General features: G+C 41.0%; 1 long non-coding RNA gene across 1 annotated transcript; it reads left to right on the top strand.

Moving 5' to 3' along the window:
- The first annotated feature begins 2,696 nt into the window (after nt 1-2,696).
- LOC102724938 (uncharacterized) lies at nt 2,697-4,812 on the top strand. Its single transcript, XR_932342.2, has 3 exons — nt 2,697-2,801; nt 3,876-4,071; nt 4,731-4,812. It is a non-coding gene; the product is annotated as an uncharacterized LOC102724938 (long non-coding RNA).
- The last annotated feature ends 13,624 nt before the right edge of the window (nt 4,813-18,436 follow it).

Consider the following 18,436-nt stretch of genomic DNA (forward strand, 5'->3'; position numbering starts at 1 on the left):
ATCTGCCCTATGGCTCTTGGCAACTTAGAAATTGTGGGGCCTCTTTCCTGAGAACAGCAGTTGGGGACCATCCTAGGATTCAGGACTTGGAGTCATTTGGAGCCTCTCCCTTGCCCTGAACTGGACCTACTTGCTTGACCAGAGCCCCACCCAGCCTGTCTCCAGGCTCTGGCCTTACTCTTGGCCCAAGCATCTGGCTCTAGAGATCTTCTAATATCCAACAGGCCAGGTGGGCAGACAGTGGAAAAAGCTGGCTGACCAGCTAAGCTTGACAAGAGAAAACCACCAGGGAGCCAGGGCCTGGACAGGGAAGCTGGGTTTGGAGGAAGTGGCTACACCTCGCTCCAGGGAAAGGACTGCCTGCTCACTGGACCCTTTGGTCCTGGCCTCTGAAAACCCAAATCTGCTTCCCTCCTTAGAGCAAGTGCTGTAGAGGCTGGAAGAACTGAAGATAATTTTAAGTCTTGTAGCTAAGAATGGAGTTTAAAAAAAATAAAGCCTACTCTCCTCAAATGGTCCCATCCCATTAAGATTTTTTTCTCTCTCCATTATTCCCTACTTCTGGAAATGTTATCAGCTCTACTCAGGATACTGCAATCACAGACCTACACTCCTGGAGTAGAAAACTTACATGGTTGGCCAGGCACGGTGGCTCACGCCTGTAATCCCAGCACTTTGGGAGGCCGAGGCAGGCTGATCACGAGGTCAGGAGATCGAGACCATCCTGGCTAACACAGTGAAACCCCGTCACCACTAAAAATACAAAAAATTAGCCGGGTGTGGTGGCAGGTGCCTGTAGTCCCAGCTACTTGGGAGGCTGAGGCTGGAGAATGGCCTGAACCTGGGAGGCAGAGGTTGCAGTGAGCCAAGATCACACCACTGCACTCCAGCCTGGGCGACAGAGCGAGACTCCATCTCAAAAAAAAAAAAAGAAAGAAAGAAAATTTACATGGTAATAAAAATGAGAAATTTTTAAAAAAAACTTACATGGGAAACAGTTATGGATATGGAGAAGGTATAAAAGCAGCAAGGAGCCAGGCGCAGTGGCTCATGCATGTAATCCCAGCACTTTGGGAGGCCGAGGCTGGTGGATTACTTGGGGCCAGGAGTTCCAGACCAGCCTGGGCAACACAGCAAAACCCCGTCTCTATTAAAAATACAAAAAAATTAGCCGGGCACGGTGGTGGGTGCCTGTAATCCTAGCTACTCGGAAGGCCTGAGGCATGACAATCACTTGTACCCAGGAGGCAGAGGTTGCAGTGAGCCGATATGCCGCCACTGCACTCCAGGAGAAAGAGCCAGACTCTTGCCTCAAAAACAAACACTAAAACTAAACAGCAAGAAGGAAATATGTGGATCTGGGCCTTTGTTTCCAGAACAGAGACCTGGGCTGGGCACACAATCTCAGAGCATTAGAAAACAGGCTTCAGACCCCCTAATCCACTGGACCACTGGCAGAGAAAAAGCCAAATACACGGCTGCAGGATGCCCTTAGGCCTGTGCTCCCCACAGTACCACTCAGTATCTCCTCTGAGCTGGCAAGGTGAGTTACAGCACCTGGACAGACCTGACCGACTGCGGGGGTAACAGGTGTGATGACTGAACAACTCTCTAACAGCAGCCAAGGGTGCTCTGTCTTAGTCCCCCTCCCCATGCCCATCTTCAACAGGATCTGGTGCCATTTGTGCCCTGCTCCTCTGGCTTGTCAGGAGCCCCCCAGGTAAGTTAGATATGAAGGAAATGCCAAATCACAACCAGAGGAAGTCATCTCCTAGCCCCGTGTACCCCCATGCCCTGCCCCCACCAGACTCCCTGTGCTCCTGAAAGGTGCTCTGTGAATTCATAATGATGACCATGACCTCACCACTCCCCCTGCCTCCCCCACTCCCCTTATGGATGAATGTTTACCCACCTTAAATCTTCAAGCCAGCCTCAAATGCCACTTCCTCCGGCCTCGAGTCCATTCGGAACCAACCTACCCTTCAGCTGAGCATTTGGAATTTTCCAAAATTCTCTCTTTCCTCCTTCAGAGGAGTCTGCCTCACTCAGTGTGCAGCCTAGCTTGTTCATCTATTCTCTCCATTGTTTATTTAGCAAAGTGTCTTTGCTATCAAGAGCCCAATGAATATGGCTAAGTGTCCGTTTGATTTTAAAGAGATTAGGGGCAGAATGTTTCGGTCACTTATCTGTTTGGTTAACCTCATATTTTTCACAGTTAGTTCCTCCAAAAAAATAGATTCAATCCTTCCAACTGTAATGTGAACTCATTTTCTCTTAACCCTATGTTCTCTACTCTTAAACCAAAGTGAATTAATTTTAAAAAATCACAAACTTCTATGTGGTCTAATGATTGCCTTTAGGGCAAAACCTAAAAGTTGGTTGGGTTTTTTTCTCCATCCCTCCTAGTCTGAGAGTATCACACTGGGCACTCAAAAGCCCAAATCTCAGGCCGGGCATGATGGCTCATGCCTGTAATCCCAGCACTTTGGGAGGCCAAGGAGGGCAGATCATTTGAGGTTAGGGGTTCGAGACCAGCCTGGCCAACATGGTGAAACCCTGTCTCTACTAAAAGTACAAAAACTAGCTGGGCATGGTGATGGGCACCTGTAATTCCAGCTACTCAGGAGGCTGAGGCAAGAGAATGGCTTGAACCCGGGAGGCAGAGATTGCAGCAAGCTGACATTGTGCCACTGCATTCCAGCCTGGGTGACAGAGCAAGACTCCATCTCAAAAGAAAAAAAAGTCCCAAATCCCACATGCCTGCTCTGAAAGTTATTCTCAAATTGTTTTTAAACTTTAAGGTATGTCACACCTTCTCTAAAATGATAAAAGATGTGGGGGAAGGAAAAAAACCCAATCAATCAAGCAAGTGAAGAAGCGGACAAAAACAGGCTGAAGGTTAAGGCAGCAAAATATAATAAGCCAAAGGCAAAGTATCCCCCAAAACCAGAGAAGCCTAAGGGCATGCACAGCTGGAGAGAGCAAGCCAGGGAGGAGTCTCAGCACTCTCTCACCTTCCATTTGTCCAATGTGGGGAACGCAGCACCTTCACAAAGTCCTGAATCTACAGGAGGCGAAAAGGGAAAAACAAGGGCAGGGGGAGAAAGAGTCGCTTAAAGAGAGGCAAGAAAGTCAGGGAATGAGGAAGATATAGGTTCAGGGAAACGAAATGCTGAAGAAGAGTGGAGGAGGTCAAAACCATGACCTGTGGTTTTGACCTCCTCCCACCAAATGGCCACCTGCTGCCTTGCCAGGGGCAGGAACAAATAGATGGGAAAGTCCCCTAAGCGATGCAGTCACACAGAGTGGGGTCGCCTGACCAGTGCAGCTCTTAATACACTCACTGGACCCCTCTCCTCAGGCCCAGGACGTGGGCGATGAATCTGGTAGAGCTCCAGAAGACCTCCACCTCTATTTTAAAAACCAGACTTCTGAGTAAGGGTTCACTTGAACAAAGGGGGCTCCAGCTAAAAAACGAAAGACACTGATCTTACCCAGTATCATCTTACAGAGGAGGAAACTGAGGACCAGTGGAAGAAGTGATTTTTCTGTGGTCACTCAGCAAGCTGATGGCAAAGATGAACTCAAAAGTTAGATCTCCGAATCCTAGTGCCTGGGGCTCTCCTCACCACACGCTGGGGCCCTTTCAGTAACTCCTAAAGGGACAGCCTGATGGGCAAATGACTGTTCTCATTGGCCTGGTTTCCCCCTTGAGACTGGGGATGAGGAAAATCAAACAGCAACTACCATTTCCTGGGTGTCCTGGGTGTTTACAGCAGGCCCCTTACTAGGGATTAACACAAAAACAACAGCGATAACAAATCTCATTTAAACCTCACAAATATATGTAAAACAATACCACCCCTGTTTTACAGATGTGAAAAAGGAGGCCCAAAGAGAACTCAAGCAATTTGCCCTAAATCATATCCCTAGCAGATGGAGAGGTAGGATTCGAACCCAGAATTCTTAACCAGTACCCGACAGTTCTTCCACAATCTTAACAATTACCCTCTACTGCCCTTTGGGCCCCCTGCCCTCAGGAGCCTGGTCAGCCAAGACTCACATCCCCAGGTGAGTGGCAACCACCAGAAGTGGTTGTCTTAGTGCTACTGCCATTTTTTTTCGTTTTCTTCCTCTTTATTCCTGCCAAACATCAGGGCTGTTCCTCTGCTGATATTCTCTCAACTTTGGAAAAGAAGAGCAGTAATACTCATGAGAACTGCAAGCCCCTACAGTCACATCGTACGTTACAGTTTTTACAAAATACTCTTATATACCATCTGATTTAATGCCACCAACAACTGTACAAGGTGTTGTCACAATCACTTAGTGACAGACAGGGATTGATATGATGGCTACAAAAAAAAAGGCAATAATGAAACTTAAACTCAGTCTTCTGATCCAAGCTCTGGGGTTTTGCCATGAATCAGCAGCTGCCAGGGACCAAAACCAGAGGCAGAGGTAGAAAAGTAAACATGAAATAGGCAGGAACTGTACACTGTGCAGTTTAGAGTCACACATCCTCACACGTCTGTTAGAGTAAGAAGTGCACCAGCACCTCTTAAACTTTTACATCAATGTATCTTCATGGCAGAAGGCAGCCTTTCTGTTAAATCTGGGAATTTATCAGAAAGAGGACAACCCAAGCCTCATTTCAGAGAGAAGTCTGGTATACTCTTAGAAATCTATGTGACTGTCACCCCTAAGTATATTATTTTTTCTCTTTCAAGAGAATCAAGCGAAACTGATGCTTCAGAAAGATGCCCCATATTTATCCTGTGCCACGCAAAGTACCCTAGGTTGACATGAGATGAGGAAGATTCAAGCTGTCAAGTTCAGTTTCCCAAGATCTGTTCCACAGAAGATGAGCAGATCTCACTCCAGAGACCACTGACTGAAGGGCACTCTGGTCTCAGAACCATGGAGAACTCAAATACGAGGTAGAGAACTCAGAAAACAAAATGCTGAAGTCTCTCTTAAGAAGAGAAGCCTGGAAGGAAACCAACCAATCCCATTCTCCCATTGACAACTGTCAATGGTTGCTCACAGGTTGGGGCAGGGGTGGGGGTGCAGTGGGGAGTGTAGGCTTTTCACACTATCAGTGTCTAAATTAAGGGAGTAAGGCAACCTGAAACCTCTTGCTCCCAGGTTCCATAGTTCCCATTCCCCTTCCAGTTGGAAATTTGTACTGCAACCAGAGGAACCAGATAGGGGGTGAGAACACTTAGGGGACTGGGTCCTAAGATCAAAGGCCAGTCTTGTGGCAATAATGACAGTTCTCAGGGGGACTGTGACTCACTACATTCCACTCCTTGTTGGGGTGATCAGACCCAACACCAGGCCATGGGGGCTACGAAGTCCGGCAGAGTCAAAGGAATGAGAAAAGACAAGTTAAGGCATAAAGTGGGACCAGGGGGCCAACGCTAGTATGGAGGCTGTGAAGGCCCCGAGCTCTGGGAGCCTATGCCATTTATTGGTAATCCAACAAAGAAGCAGGTAGTGAGGATATGAGGGTTGGGAGAAAGCAGTGCATCAGGTGAATGAGCTACAGCTGTGACGGTTTAGCATTTTCTTTGAAGTATATGGAACATGTTATGCTACTTGAGATAATGGGAAACATGTTCTTCTAGTTTAAGATACAATCGTTTTATGAACCTGGGATTGCTAGAACCAAGAAGCCAGCAAGTCTAGACACATTCCAGAGGCCACGAGGGGTTTTATGCCCTGAGCCCTGGATTCCATCCAAGCCATGAGGGGTTTTATGCCCTGGTCTTAGATTGTGGTGTGGCAGGGCAGACTTCCACCCTTCAGCATGGAGATTGGTGTTCCAAAGGTCATGAGGGGTTTTATACTCTGGACCCCAGACATGTTCCAAGACTCTTTTGCATGATGTCAGACGTGCAAGCCCTGCCTCAGCTTCTCTCCCAACCCTCAGCTTTTCTCCCAACAACTCCTCCCTGTTGGGGGGGCCACATCGCTCTGAATGGTAGAGGGGGTGCTTGGAGACATGAGCTCAAAAAGCCTAGGGAGGTCTGGCTTGGGGTGGCAGGAGGTGAGGACCAAATCTGGAGTGGAGAGCCCTGGGAGTCATTGGCCCAAAGTCACCCAGGGGTGACCAGTGAGGGTGGGGACTGGGCTGCTGAGGGGGCGGGGCTGGCTGACAAGACTTTGGTTGGGGAAGCCCAGAGGCCCAGCCTGGTATGCCTCAGGAGTGGCACGGACTCTAGCAGTGGTCCTGCTGTTGAAGGGGGCTTAGGGCTGGGTCAGGTAGCCACAACCCCGTGCATTTTACCTTTTTTTCTTGGCCTTGACCAGTTGGCTTCATTTTACCGTTTTTTTCTTGGCTGTGTCCAATTCCCTGTGTTAGTTTCTTCCGACACCACAGGGCAGGGAGGGAGGTGGGGTTGGGACCACATCAGTGTAATCCTGGCAACCACTGCTAAACACTTCTAGCCAGCTACCACCAGTTGTGCAACTGAGCCAGAGGAGGCATAACCAGGGCCGCACTAGAATGCAGGATAAGGGCATGGCTTCAATGCTCCAAACCCATTGGTCGACGAGAAAGGAGGGAAAGGGAAAAAAAAAAGGGAAAGGAGGCATGGCCAGGTGGCAGCGTGGCCAGAGGGACCTGTGGTTTCACAAGGAAAGCTGCACAGGCAACCGCTCTCCCCGCCCACTCCAGGAAAGGGGCAGGGCTGGCTTTCACTTTAAAAACTTTAAAACTTAAAAAAAAAATCTGCGTGTACTTTATATATATGTGTGTGTCTATGTGTGTGTATATGTGTTCTTTCAGAGCTGTCTTCATTATACAGCTTCTATGCCAGGTCTTTGATTTTGGCCTTTATTATTCATCTTCGAATGGAGCACAAGAATTACCAGTATTACCTCAATTGAGGTACAAATCCTATAAAAATGGAAAACCCATAGCATGCTCGATGATTAAGGCAGAAGACTATATTATCCAACATTCCAATAAGATAAAATAATCACAATGATTTCTCTTTTTTGGAAAAAGATTATTTTATTCTCCTACATTATTGTTAAGTTTTTTTTAACAAGAAACATGTCTAATATCTTTAAAAACACACATTTTTCAATTTAATAAGCACTCAAAGCTCTTTACCAGTTTAAAAAAAAATTACAAGGCCCTTCTAAAGTAAGGCTAAATGCTAAGTGATGGGGGAGAGAAAAAGGACATAAACAACTCCTACTCTCAAGGGGTTAATCACTAAATCCTATTTGACTAGAATCACCTGGCCTCTCCAAACCTTGCAAATGAAACTGAATTTCTCACTAGATACTAGACTATGACTTGCAGCAATTGTGAAAACCAAGAATTGTGTTATGTCACTGGGTATTGCATGTTATCTGAATTCCACACTAGGCTGGGATCAAGGGTTGAATCTTTCATGATTTGCTCCATAACCTGTGTGCTTCTTATCCCAGACCCAAGTAAGCTTTCTTCTAGAGTTCTACAATTTACAGTTAGTATACAAGAATGGTCCTCAAAAATGTAGTCTCTGGACCAGCACCACCAGCATCACCTGAGAACTTTTTATAAATGCATATTCTCAGGCCCCACCTTAGACCTGATGAATCAGAAACTCTGGAGTAGGGCCTAGCAATCTGTGCTGCAATAAACCCTGCAGGTGTTCAGGAACCTCTGGCATACAGCAGGTAGAAAAATGTGTTTCCTTCTGTAGGTCCAAAGCCAGGGATACTGTATGTTCTGTCTTGATATGAAACAAAGACATGCAATTAAAAGACATAAATCTCCTTCCTACTCCCATCCTCCAGCTAATGTGTTTTATTTTTATAAGTTAAATAAGAAAACAAGTGGCAATCAGAGATTTAATCTAAAAAGTATGTTTACAGATATCTGTTCTTATCCAGTCTGATCTTATACAACACCACTTACATCCTCCTACATCTAAAGTTTTAGAAAGGGACCTTCACAATATAAGTCTAAGGCACACTAGGAGTGTGATAATAAAAGACCAAGTAGATCTGAATGTCCAAACTTACTAGAGAAGAAAAGTGGAATCACTGGCTGTATTTTCAAATTGCATTCAACAGGAAATTAAGGTTTTGAATTTTTTTCACCTTTGTACTTCCAAGTTAATAGAATTAAACCAGAATACTCCATACTTCCAAAGCCTCTAGCCAGGCAAAGTTTTACTTTATTACTTCTTGCTTTTGATTGATATAAAGCAGAGTCCTGGTAGGCATATTGTGTATACTTGCAAAGATGCAGAACTAAACAGTTGTTAATATTAAAACAAAAGTCCTGTAAACCTCAGATGGTGAGTGTAATATTTTAGCACTAACACCAAAGCCTCAAATATGAAAAGATATCAAAAACACCACTAGCAAACAAAAGTAAACTCTCAGCCGGAAGCAGTAGTTCATACCTGTAAGCCCAGCACTTTGGCAAGCTAAGGTGGGAGGATTACTTGGAGTCAGGAGTCCGAGACCAGCCTGGGCAGCATAGTGAATTCACATCTCTACAAAAAAATTTAAAAATTAGCATGCCTATAGTCCTAGCTACTTGGGAGTCTGAGGTGGGAAAATCGCTTGAGCCCAGGAGTTTGAGGCTGCTGTAGCTACGATAATGCCACTGCACTCTAGCCTAGGTGACAGAGCAAGACCTAGATAATTACATTCTGTCCTGCTCCTGTTTACACTAAAATCACTAAGTTAAAATGCTTTCATTCAGCAGGATAAAAATTAAGTGACATGGCCGGGTGTGGTGGCTCACATCTGTAATCCCAGCACTTTGGGAGGCCGAGGTGGGTGGATCACCTGAGGTCGGGAGTTTGAGACCAACCTGACCAACATGGAGAAACCCCGTCTCTAATTCAAATACAAAATTAGCCGGGCATGGTGGCACATGCCTGTAATCCTAGCTACTTGGGAGGCTGAGGCGGGAAGAATCGCTTGAACCTGGAAGGGGGAGGTTTCAGTGAGCCAAGATCACACCACTGCACTCCAGCCTGGGCAAACAAGAGCGAAACTCCATCTCAAAAAAAAAAAAAAAATTAAGTGAAATGTGGCCAGGCGCGGTGGCTCACGTCTGTAATCCCAGCACTTTGGGAAGCTGAGGCAGGCAGATCACCTGAGTTCAGGAGTTCGAGACCAGACTGGCCAACGTGGTGAAACACAGTCTCTACTACAAATACAAAAATTAGCCAGGCATGGTGGCGAGTGCCTGTAATCCCAGCTACTCAGGAGACTAAGGCAGGAGAATCACCTGAACCTAGGAGGCAGAGGTTGCAGTGGGCCAAGATCATGCCACTGCACTCCAGCCAGACTCTGTCTCAAAAAATAAAAATAAACTGATTAAGTGAAATGTGATTTTGGAGCTTGGGTGGCTAAAAAAGGAAAGAAAATATAAAGCTAAACAACAAATTACTTACTAGGAGAAAGTTTTTGTAACCTCAGTGACAGATAAAAGGTTTATATCCTAAGTCCATAAATAAATCTTTAAAATTACTCAGAAAAAATGATTTTAAAAGATAAAATTATTTTACAATTTTATAAAATTACTCAGAGAAAAACAAATGGTTTCCAACAGAAAATGGGAAATGGAGAAACAAACACTTCTCACAAGAATAAAAATTGCCAATAAGCATATAAAAGATTCAAAAGCACTAGAAATCAAAGAAATGTAATGAAAACAATAAGATTTTCTGCTTAAAGACTAGCAAAGACAACAAATGGAAGGGGGAAGCTGGAGCTCTGTCCCTGTTGGTGGGAGTATAAACTGAACCAATCTTCCTGCACAATAATTTGAAAATGTCTATTAAAATCCCTAAAACTGTTTTATATTATTTTCCTCCAGAAATTCTACTTCTATGAATTCAGTCATAAAATGCTTGCTCGAGTCCATTAAAATGTATATATGAGGAAATTCACCTCTGGGGTGGCAATGATTAACTTAATATACATCCAGCTATTAAAAATGATGATGCCAGGATATATTTACTGCCATAGAAGCAAGCCCAAAATATAGTAAGTGACAAAAGACTATATATTATGATTCTACTTTTTACAATGCTTATATGCATAAAGTATAAAAAGCAACAAACCAGAATGTTTTGAGTGGCAAAATTGAAGATGTTTCTTTATATTTTGTCATCCAAATTATTACATAAAAAATGTGATTTCCTTCATAATCAGGAAGAAGTGTTATTTTCATTTACTTACATTTAAATTTCTTTCTCTTACTTTTTCTCGTGAACATATCCCATGTAGGCTAGAGAGGTAGAATCCCTGCCTCTTGAGGTCATTCAGTCCATTTTTGGAATGTGCACTACACAAAGCTGCCCCATCTTCCTTTTATTTTAAAATGTCTGGAAACATTTTTGTTTTAAATTGTTTTATTGTTCTCAGAGTGTTTTTAAAAAATATATGAAATAGAGGAAAAGGCAAAGGAAAGGCTGACTCCCCAACTTCCTGGGGCTGCTCTTCCAATTTTTGCTGCTATTGCTATGTATTAATATTCACTGGGTACTAAAAAGATGGGCAGCCCCTTAGATACTTTTTTCTTATCTCTTTCTCATAATCTCAATTCATTCCTTCATTCACTTATTCTTAAAGGGGTTATGTGTACAAATACATAGTTCAAAAAATTTAAAAATATAACTATAAAAGTATGTGGCAAAATCCCATTCATATCCTATTCTCCCTCCACAGCCAAACACTTTTAATTGGTTTCTTATGTATCATTTTGGAATTTATATTTGCAAATACACATGTATATTCTTATTCTACTCTTCTCTCTCAACACAGAAAGTAGCAGACCATATATATTATACCATTCCTTGTTCCTTTTTAAAAACACACAAAATATATCTGAGTTCTTCTACATGAGTACATAGGTCTTTCTCATTCTTCTTTACAACTACACAGTATTCCATCGTTTGGATGTACCATAGTTTATTGAACCAGTTCCCTGTTGGTGGACACTGAAGTCATCCTTATCATACTATCACAAACAATATTGGCAAGGCAAGCATAACCACCTACACACACCAAGTTCATTTCTGAATGTGCCTTTGATGAAGCTTCTGTTTAAATCTCCACAAGATCACAAGGCTGAAAAGTTAGCCCCTTTTTCAGTTTTCATTATGTACAGCAGTATGTAGCAAAAGACTCCCTTGAGCAAAGCAAATGTACTCTTTGAGGATTTATTTCATAAAATAAATGGATAAACAGAACACCCAGCATAACAATTTCTATTTAACAATGCATATGTATGTATACAATACATGCATATGCATAGAAAGTATAAAATAAATCCGTCAAAGCATTAAGCATTGTCTCAGTATGCTGGACCTATGGAGTGCTTTGTAGATTCCCCCTCCTTGTCTATCAGTTCTAATTTCACAACAGTGAATATGTACAATTTTTGCAATATAAAATTTCAAAAAATGTTAACTCACATTAAGCTGGATACATTCTTTCAGTCTGTCCTACATTTGTATAGTGCTCCAGTGTGTTCAAATATCACTTCATTTTAAAATATTTTTTTTCAAATATAGAGACAGACAGGGTCTTGCTCAGTCGACCAAGTTGGTCTTGAACTCCTAGATTCTCCTGGATCCTCCCACCTCCGCCTCCCAAAGTGCTGGTATTACAAGTGTGAGCCATCACGCCCAACCAGCTTCATTTGAGAAACCTTTCCCAAGCACTCCATATATTACTAATTATTCCTTTCTTCATTTTTATATAGGATTTTCTTCATATCTCTATTACCTCACTTGTCACATGATAATCAGTTACTCACCCATCTGTCTCCCTTGATTGCTCGTGGGCTCCTTGAGCAATGTGCGACCTTGAACAGTGTGTGACACATACATGCTTCCTACACAGAGAAGGAAATGATTTCGCTACAGTGTCAATCATTACCAGAATTCAATACCTGTATTTCTAAATCGTTCTAGATACTCTGCCAACAACTTGAGAATGTTACGCTCTTTCCCTAAAACTTCCATCCATTCCAGCCATAGTTAACTCAATTGTGACATGCTCTCTGGCCAAGCCCATTTGTAGTTTTTTCTTTAGGTGATTTTTAATTTTAATTTTTGATTTTGATTGTTTGCTTTTTGGTATTTTTTAATCTAGGAGTGTTTGGTAAACTTCACCATGTCTATATGTCTGTGTCTTTGCACCTGGTGGTCTCTGCTTGGAATGATGTCTCAAGGTTTTATTCACCTGGAAAGAATTCCTACTCACCCTTAAAGACTCAGCTTAAATAACCCCTTCTCTGGTAAACCTTTACATTCTCCCATTCTTTCAGTAAGAGTTGAGAATTCCTCTACTCTTGAAATGTTTGTGCCTCTATTACTATGTATCAGGCAGTGAACTAAGCGTCTAGGATAGAAAGATGAAACGGTAGAACCTGCCCTCATGGAGCGCATGGTCTAGTATGGAAAACAGCCATATGAACAAATAACCACACTATAATATTAAATGCAATACCAAAAGGGAAATGTATTGAATATTTGACATGTGTCAATTACCTTGTTAGATACCTTATTAACAATTATCTATGATCATATTAGATACGTATTTGAATTGGACAGAAGGCCATGAAACTCTAGGACTGCTAGAGTTTGTTATGCTCTCAATTGTCTTCTAAAGAAACTGTCTCCTAATGGTTCTTTCTGAATATGCTATAGTCATACAACTATTGTGCAACTGTAGCATACACAAAAAGCATATCTGTAGCATACTCATGTGACCAATAATGCATAAAACCAACCTTACTTCTTTGGCCACAAGTAACTGGACCAAGGCTCAGTGTTTCAGCTAAGGACAACATATAGGTTGAACTTCAGGGACAATCGCCAAGGACATGGCATGGCTCAAAATTCTCTCTAATAGGGGCCTTCCGTTTTTAGAAGGTGACAGGCTAACCCAATCAGATATTCTCTCTTGGAAAATACAAATGTTGGGTGAACAAAGGAAAAGAGGGCAGGTTTTCAGAGCTCAAATCCTATCCTAAATACTGCTAAATTAATGTTCTGTGAAGTTTTGAAAGTACTAGGGCCAAGAAACAATATGGCTACTTAGATGACTTCCCATCCAAGTTTACATTCGGCCCTCATTACCAAAGGTGATAAGTGTGTGCCTCTTCCTTGCAACCCATCAGGGTCTAACACATCATATCGCCACTTCTGAAATTAGGAAATAGGCTCAGAAGTCCAAGAGCTTGACCAGAGTAATTCACTTGGTAGGTAGCAGAACCAGAATTCAAAGAGCAAGTCGGCGTGATTCTTCTCCAATATCCTGCCAGTTACATGGGCAAGTGGCCTCAAAATCAACAAAAGACAAGTAGAGGTTGACATGTGTCAATGGAAAGAGGCTCAAAAGGAAGAGTTTGTACACAAGAATAGAACAGAAACGTTCTGGAAGTATGTCTGGGGATGTGAAGTAGGAAGGGGCACACCAGGTTTCACCTTGGTCAAGTGACTGTCTAATTCCCCCGAGCTCCAGACTCAGCTATCTGTCTTTCTCACTCTAATATAAAATCCACAGGGCAGGACCTTAATCTCTAGCTTGTTCACCACAGATTAAAGCAGAGTCTGGCTTAATAGTAAGTGCTTAATAAATATATGAATGAATAAATGAATGAACATTCCACATTGTTGGGGGAAGGGGTTATCATGAACCAGACCCTAGCAGTCACTTACAAATACAGTTGATCCTCATTATTTGTGGATCCTATATTTGCAAATTTGCTTACTTGCTAAAATGTGTTTGTAATCTCCAAATTAATACTTGTGGAGCTTTCAAGGTGATTCATGGACATACACACAGTAGTGAAAAATCTGTCACTCCTTATGCACGTTCCAAGCTAAGGTCAAATAAGGTGACCCTGGGCCTCCTTGTTTCAGCTCTCATACAAAGATGACCCAAGGACAGAGGCAACAGAGGGCAGTGCAGGGTAGTGCAAGAAGCTCTGGCTCTAGGACTAATTGGACGAGGTCTGAATCTTAACTCTGGCACCTGTTAGTGAAGCAGCCTCAAGCAAATCACTTAATGCTTCTGTACTTCCTTTATTGTTTTGTAAATAAAGAAAATTCAATCTACCAAGATGAGTTGTTTTTAGGAATTAAGATTATAACCTATGTGAGATATGTGTATATGTGCATATTTTCCCTAGGAACAAGGGTTTAGTATTTCTTTAATTCAGTGTTCTAGGCAACTTTACAGAATATAACTACTGCAAATAACGAGAATTGACTGTAATTATAAGGACATAACAGAGAAGTAGACACAACAATTATTTGGATGAGGTAGAGGCAGGCTTCAAGAAGATTTTGAAGAAATAGAATTTACCAGGCACATAAGGTATGGAAAAGGCTTGCAAGGAGAGAGAATGGCACCTACAGACAGAGGTCCAGAGGGCGGGAAAAAAAGGTCGGTTCAGGAAATGGCACTTCAGGAAGTCTAGAGCAGTAGAACATGAGGCCAGACACGGTGCCATAGTGCTTCTGCACCCTGTGTACACCCTGTACTGCAGAACCTCACTCTCTGCATTTAATCTTGGTTTCTAGTTCTCTCTTCTATTAAACTGTGAGCTCCTCAAGTTCAAAGTCTCTAAGAAATCAAAGCGAGAGTCCTCTAAATTTGCAAACAAGTTATTACTAAACACAAATACACCCAAAAAGACTGTACAAAAATAACTTTGGTTTTCAATTGCAGTCAGCAATTCACAACTGGTACACATTTGCAATTTGTCCAGGGTTTTTCGCTGATGACTGCTGTAACTCTGTCATAAACTCTTTTCATTGTTTCAGACACCCAGACATTTGTTAGAACAGTTTTAAGATCTTGCTCTTTTTAGTGTAATTGATTGATTGGTTGATTGACTGAGATGGGGTCTCATTATGTTGCCCAGGCTGGTTTTGAAATCCTAGGTTAAAGCAATCCTCCTGCCTCAGCCCTCCAAGTGGCTGGGATTACAGGCGCACACCGCTGCGCTGGGCTCTCGTGTGATTAATTAACAAGGCTTAAACATATGGTCCATTAGACAACGCTTCCACCTCAGAGTAAAGATTTCTTTTAATTCACTCTGACTTATTTCTCTATATGAGAGATACAATTTACTATAGTAAAATACAAAGAAGCATATTGATATATATGTTACAAACAGGATAAGGAAAGCAAAATAATTTTTTCCACAAAAGCTTGCAAAATCCTGGCCAAAGCACAATAAACATGATGTTAAACTCACAGCTTACATTTCTCCACTGAGAGCTAGGAAAAAATAATGACAGTTTTTGTAAAGTCACAAAACTAAGCACTGCAAGAATTTACAAGATTTTGTAAACTTGTATATTCTCCCCAACCCCATATACAACTAGCCAAAGGAGCCTATCAATCTCACCCCGATACTTCAATTTCCTCCAGCCTCCAAAATAAAACTCTCACTGTCCAATATCTCAATTTATATTTTCAAATGTCTAAAATCTTAAAATTAAGAGCAGTGCATTAGCTTTTCCCCATAAACATTTTTGGTATAATTTTACTTAGGCACAACATAGTTTGTACTGTTATCTAAAAACATATGGATAGAACCAACATGACTAGAAACCAAACGAATATACTATGAAGACGAAAAGGGAATAGAAAATGTTGTTTTTAAACAGATTCAGTGCTGTTATTATCCACTCATAGGTTGGGTGTGATCAAATCACATTGTGCTGCACAGCTAAGTATGTCCTATATTTTATGACAAAGTAGGGTAACAAATTATTTATTGAGGGTCTGTTGGGTGCACAGAGGCATGCTAGAAGCTGTAAAAGATTTGATTCTTACCCTCAATAAACGTGCAATGTTATAGACCTACTCCCAAAACAAATAATGAGTGACGCTCTCTCAAATATATGTACAATCAAATGTGAAACGGAGGTAAAGATGGGGAAGATCTTAGGCTCAGAGATTGTATTCAGGCCTTTATGGTGGCAATCTTGATATAATTACGCATTTAAAAATAAATTGTCATCAGATCAGTCTGAAATTTATAGAGGCTTTTGTTGGTGAGAAACGTAGTTTACATAATTTACCCACAGGAATGTTTTTGATTAATGTTATCTATTAAAGACTGCAGTTCACAATATTTCCCCTGTTAATAGTACATATGTTTTTGGAGCTGATCTGGTGAAGTTCTTCCCAGAGTATCTGTATCCCGATTTTCAGATTCCATTTCATCAGTGGGGCAAATTTACAGGTCAGTATAGGACAAGTTTTAAGCATTAATGGAAAAGAGATTGTATTACATTTATATTGTCTTTCTAATCTGACAGCCCTGAGTTTAATTTAGAAAATTCCTCTATTTTTAATTTACCTTTGTTTTGATATATTTTACTATTAGGGATCACATAAATAATTTTCCTCTTTTTCTTGACTTCCTTGTGAACTAATACATTTTCAAAAGCTTCTTGTTAACTTCTAATTACAGGTAAGTTCCGTTTTCTGTTTGCTTAACAAGCTCATTGACGTTTCATTTGCAAGCACCGTTCTTGCGTCAAATGGAAGATAACTAATGGAACATCTGTGCACAGAGGTCAATATAGGAAAGCTTAGCAGAGTGATTACTTATTTGTTTTCTGTTAATGTCCATGCAGCTGCTCTGGGAATAAATGAAATGCAAGTACAGAGGACAAAATCATTCTAATTAGAGATTTACCTGGAACCTTTTTTAAAAATTCTATATACATGTCCTACTTCTCACCCCGCCAAAAGCTCCCCGACCTCCTTTTTTCCTTGATTCCCCACCAAATAATGGAAAAATCTGATGGGTTCATTTACTTAGTAAAAGAAAACCTTGTAAAACAAGGAGACAGAGAAACAATTTTAGTGCTAAGTATAACATGGCATATAAAAATATGTTCTACATGATTTTAAAAGGCTTTATAAAATTATTTCTTGTTGTTTATGAAATTATTTCAAGTCTATTTGTTTTTTCAAATCTCACCATTAGAGACAAAAACTCAAAACGTGCACTGTGAATAAGGTACAAGCAAAATTTAAAAACCAATAAATTTATGAAAGATATTTTATATTTAACTTAAAAAACTTTTCAACTCAATACTCAAGTATATACTGAAATTACAACTATTCTTACTTGAATAGATAAATATGTAACATTGTCAAAAGCATTAAGTATAGTCTGAAGATGTTTCGGAAGCAGCGAGTCATGATTCTGATTGCATTTACCCACTTACAACAAGAACTCCATCTATAAAGAGCTGCCTTTAACTCAATCCCTAACCTAAGACCATTGATTTGGAGTAAGTAGAGTGGGTCATTCACTAATGTACTTAAAAAAACAAAATCTTGATTCTGACTCAGAGATACCTAGGTTAAGTGTACAGGACACAAAGATTTTGACTGAGGCACAGTGTTAAAGATTCGTTAAAATATTTTGTATGCAGCACATGTTAAATTTTTTCACTATGGTAACCATACTTTTTAAGAAACTAAAGCAAAAACTGAAAAGTAAAACAGGGTAAATATCAATACGGTATGAGTCTGTTTTCACGCCGCTGATAAAAGACATACCTGAGACTGGGAAGAAAAAGAGATTTAATTGGACTTACAGTTCCACATGGCTGGGGAGGCCTCAGAATCATGGCAGGAGGCGAAAGGCACTTCTTACACAGGCAGTAAGAGAAAAATGAGGAAGAAGCAAAAGCGGAAACCCATGATTAACCCATCAGATCTCGTGAGACTTATTCACTATCACGAAAATAGCATGGGAAAGACCGGCCCCGTGATTCAGTTACCTCCCCCTGGGTCCCTCCCACAACATGTGGGAGCTCTGGGAGATATAATTCAAGTTGAGATTTGAGTGGAGACACAGCCAAACCATATCAAGAACATTATATGAAACATCCTAAATGTCAATAAACACATTGTATTAAACATACTATTTTTCTCATGTATCTGTACAATGGAATAATAGGATTGTTGGGCTCTTCCTAGATTATATGGATTCTGAAAGAGACATGTTAAATCAAAACTAATTAGGTGAAAATTATTACTATTTATGAATGCATTACCACTGTGCCTAAAAGTACACAGGAAACTGAATATTTCCATTTCAAAAACAATTTTAACTTAATAGTCTTATTTCTCAATTATTCTCTACATTTTTATAAGAATAACAAAACCAAAATTGTACCCCAATAAAAATTAACAAATCTAACAGTTCATTTTTATAAGTCTTCCTACCACTGGACAACTACAAAGCTTTCTGGTTCTAGAGCCTATCTCCATATTGAGAAATAAAGTTAAAGGATGCAATCTGGATGTTAATGAAACTCAAACTCCCTTCCTCATAAATTCTATTAAAACTACAAAATATTACTTTCAGATAAGAAGATATTAAGCTTCCATGACTACGCATATGAATGACATTTTA

This window comes from Homo sapiens, chromosome 15, assembly GCF_000001405.40.
Source record: "Homo sapiens chromosome 15, GRCh38.p14 Primary Assembly".
Taxonomy (NCBI): domain Eukaryota; kingdom Metazoa; phylum Chordata; class Mammalia; order Primates; family Hominidae; genus Homo; species Homo sapiens.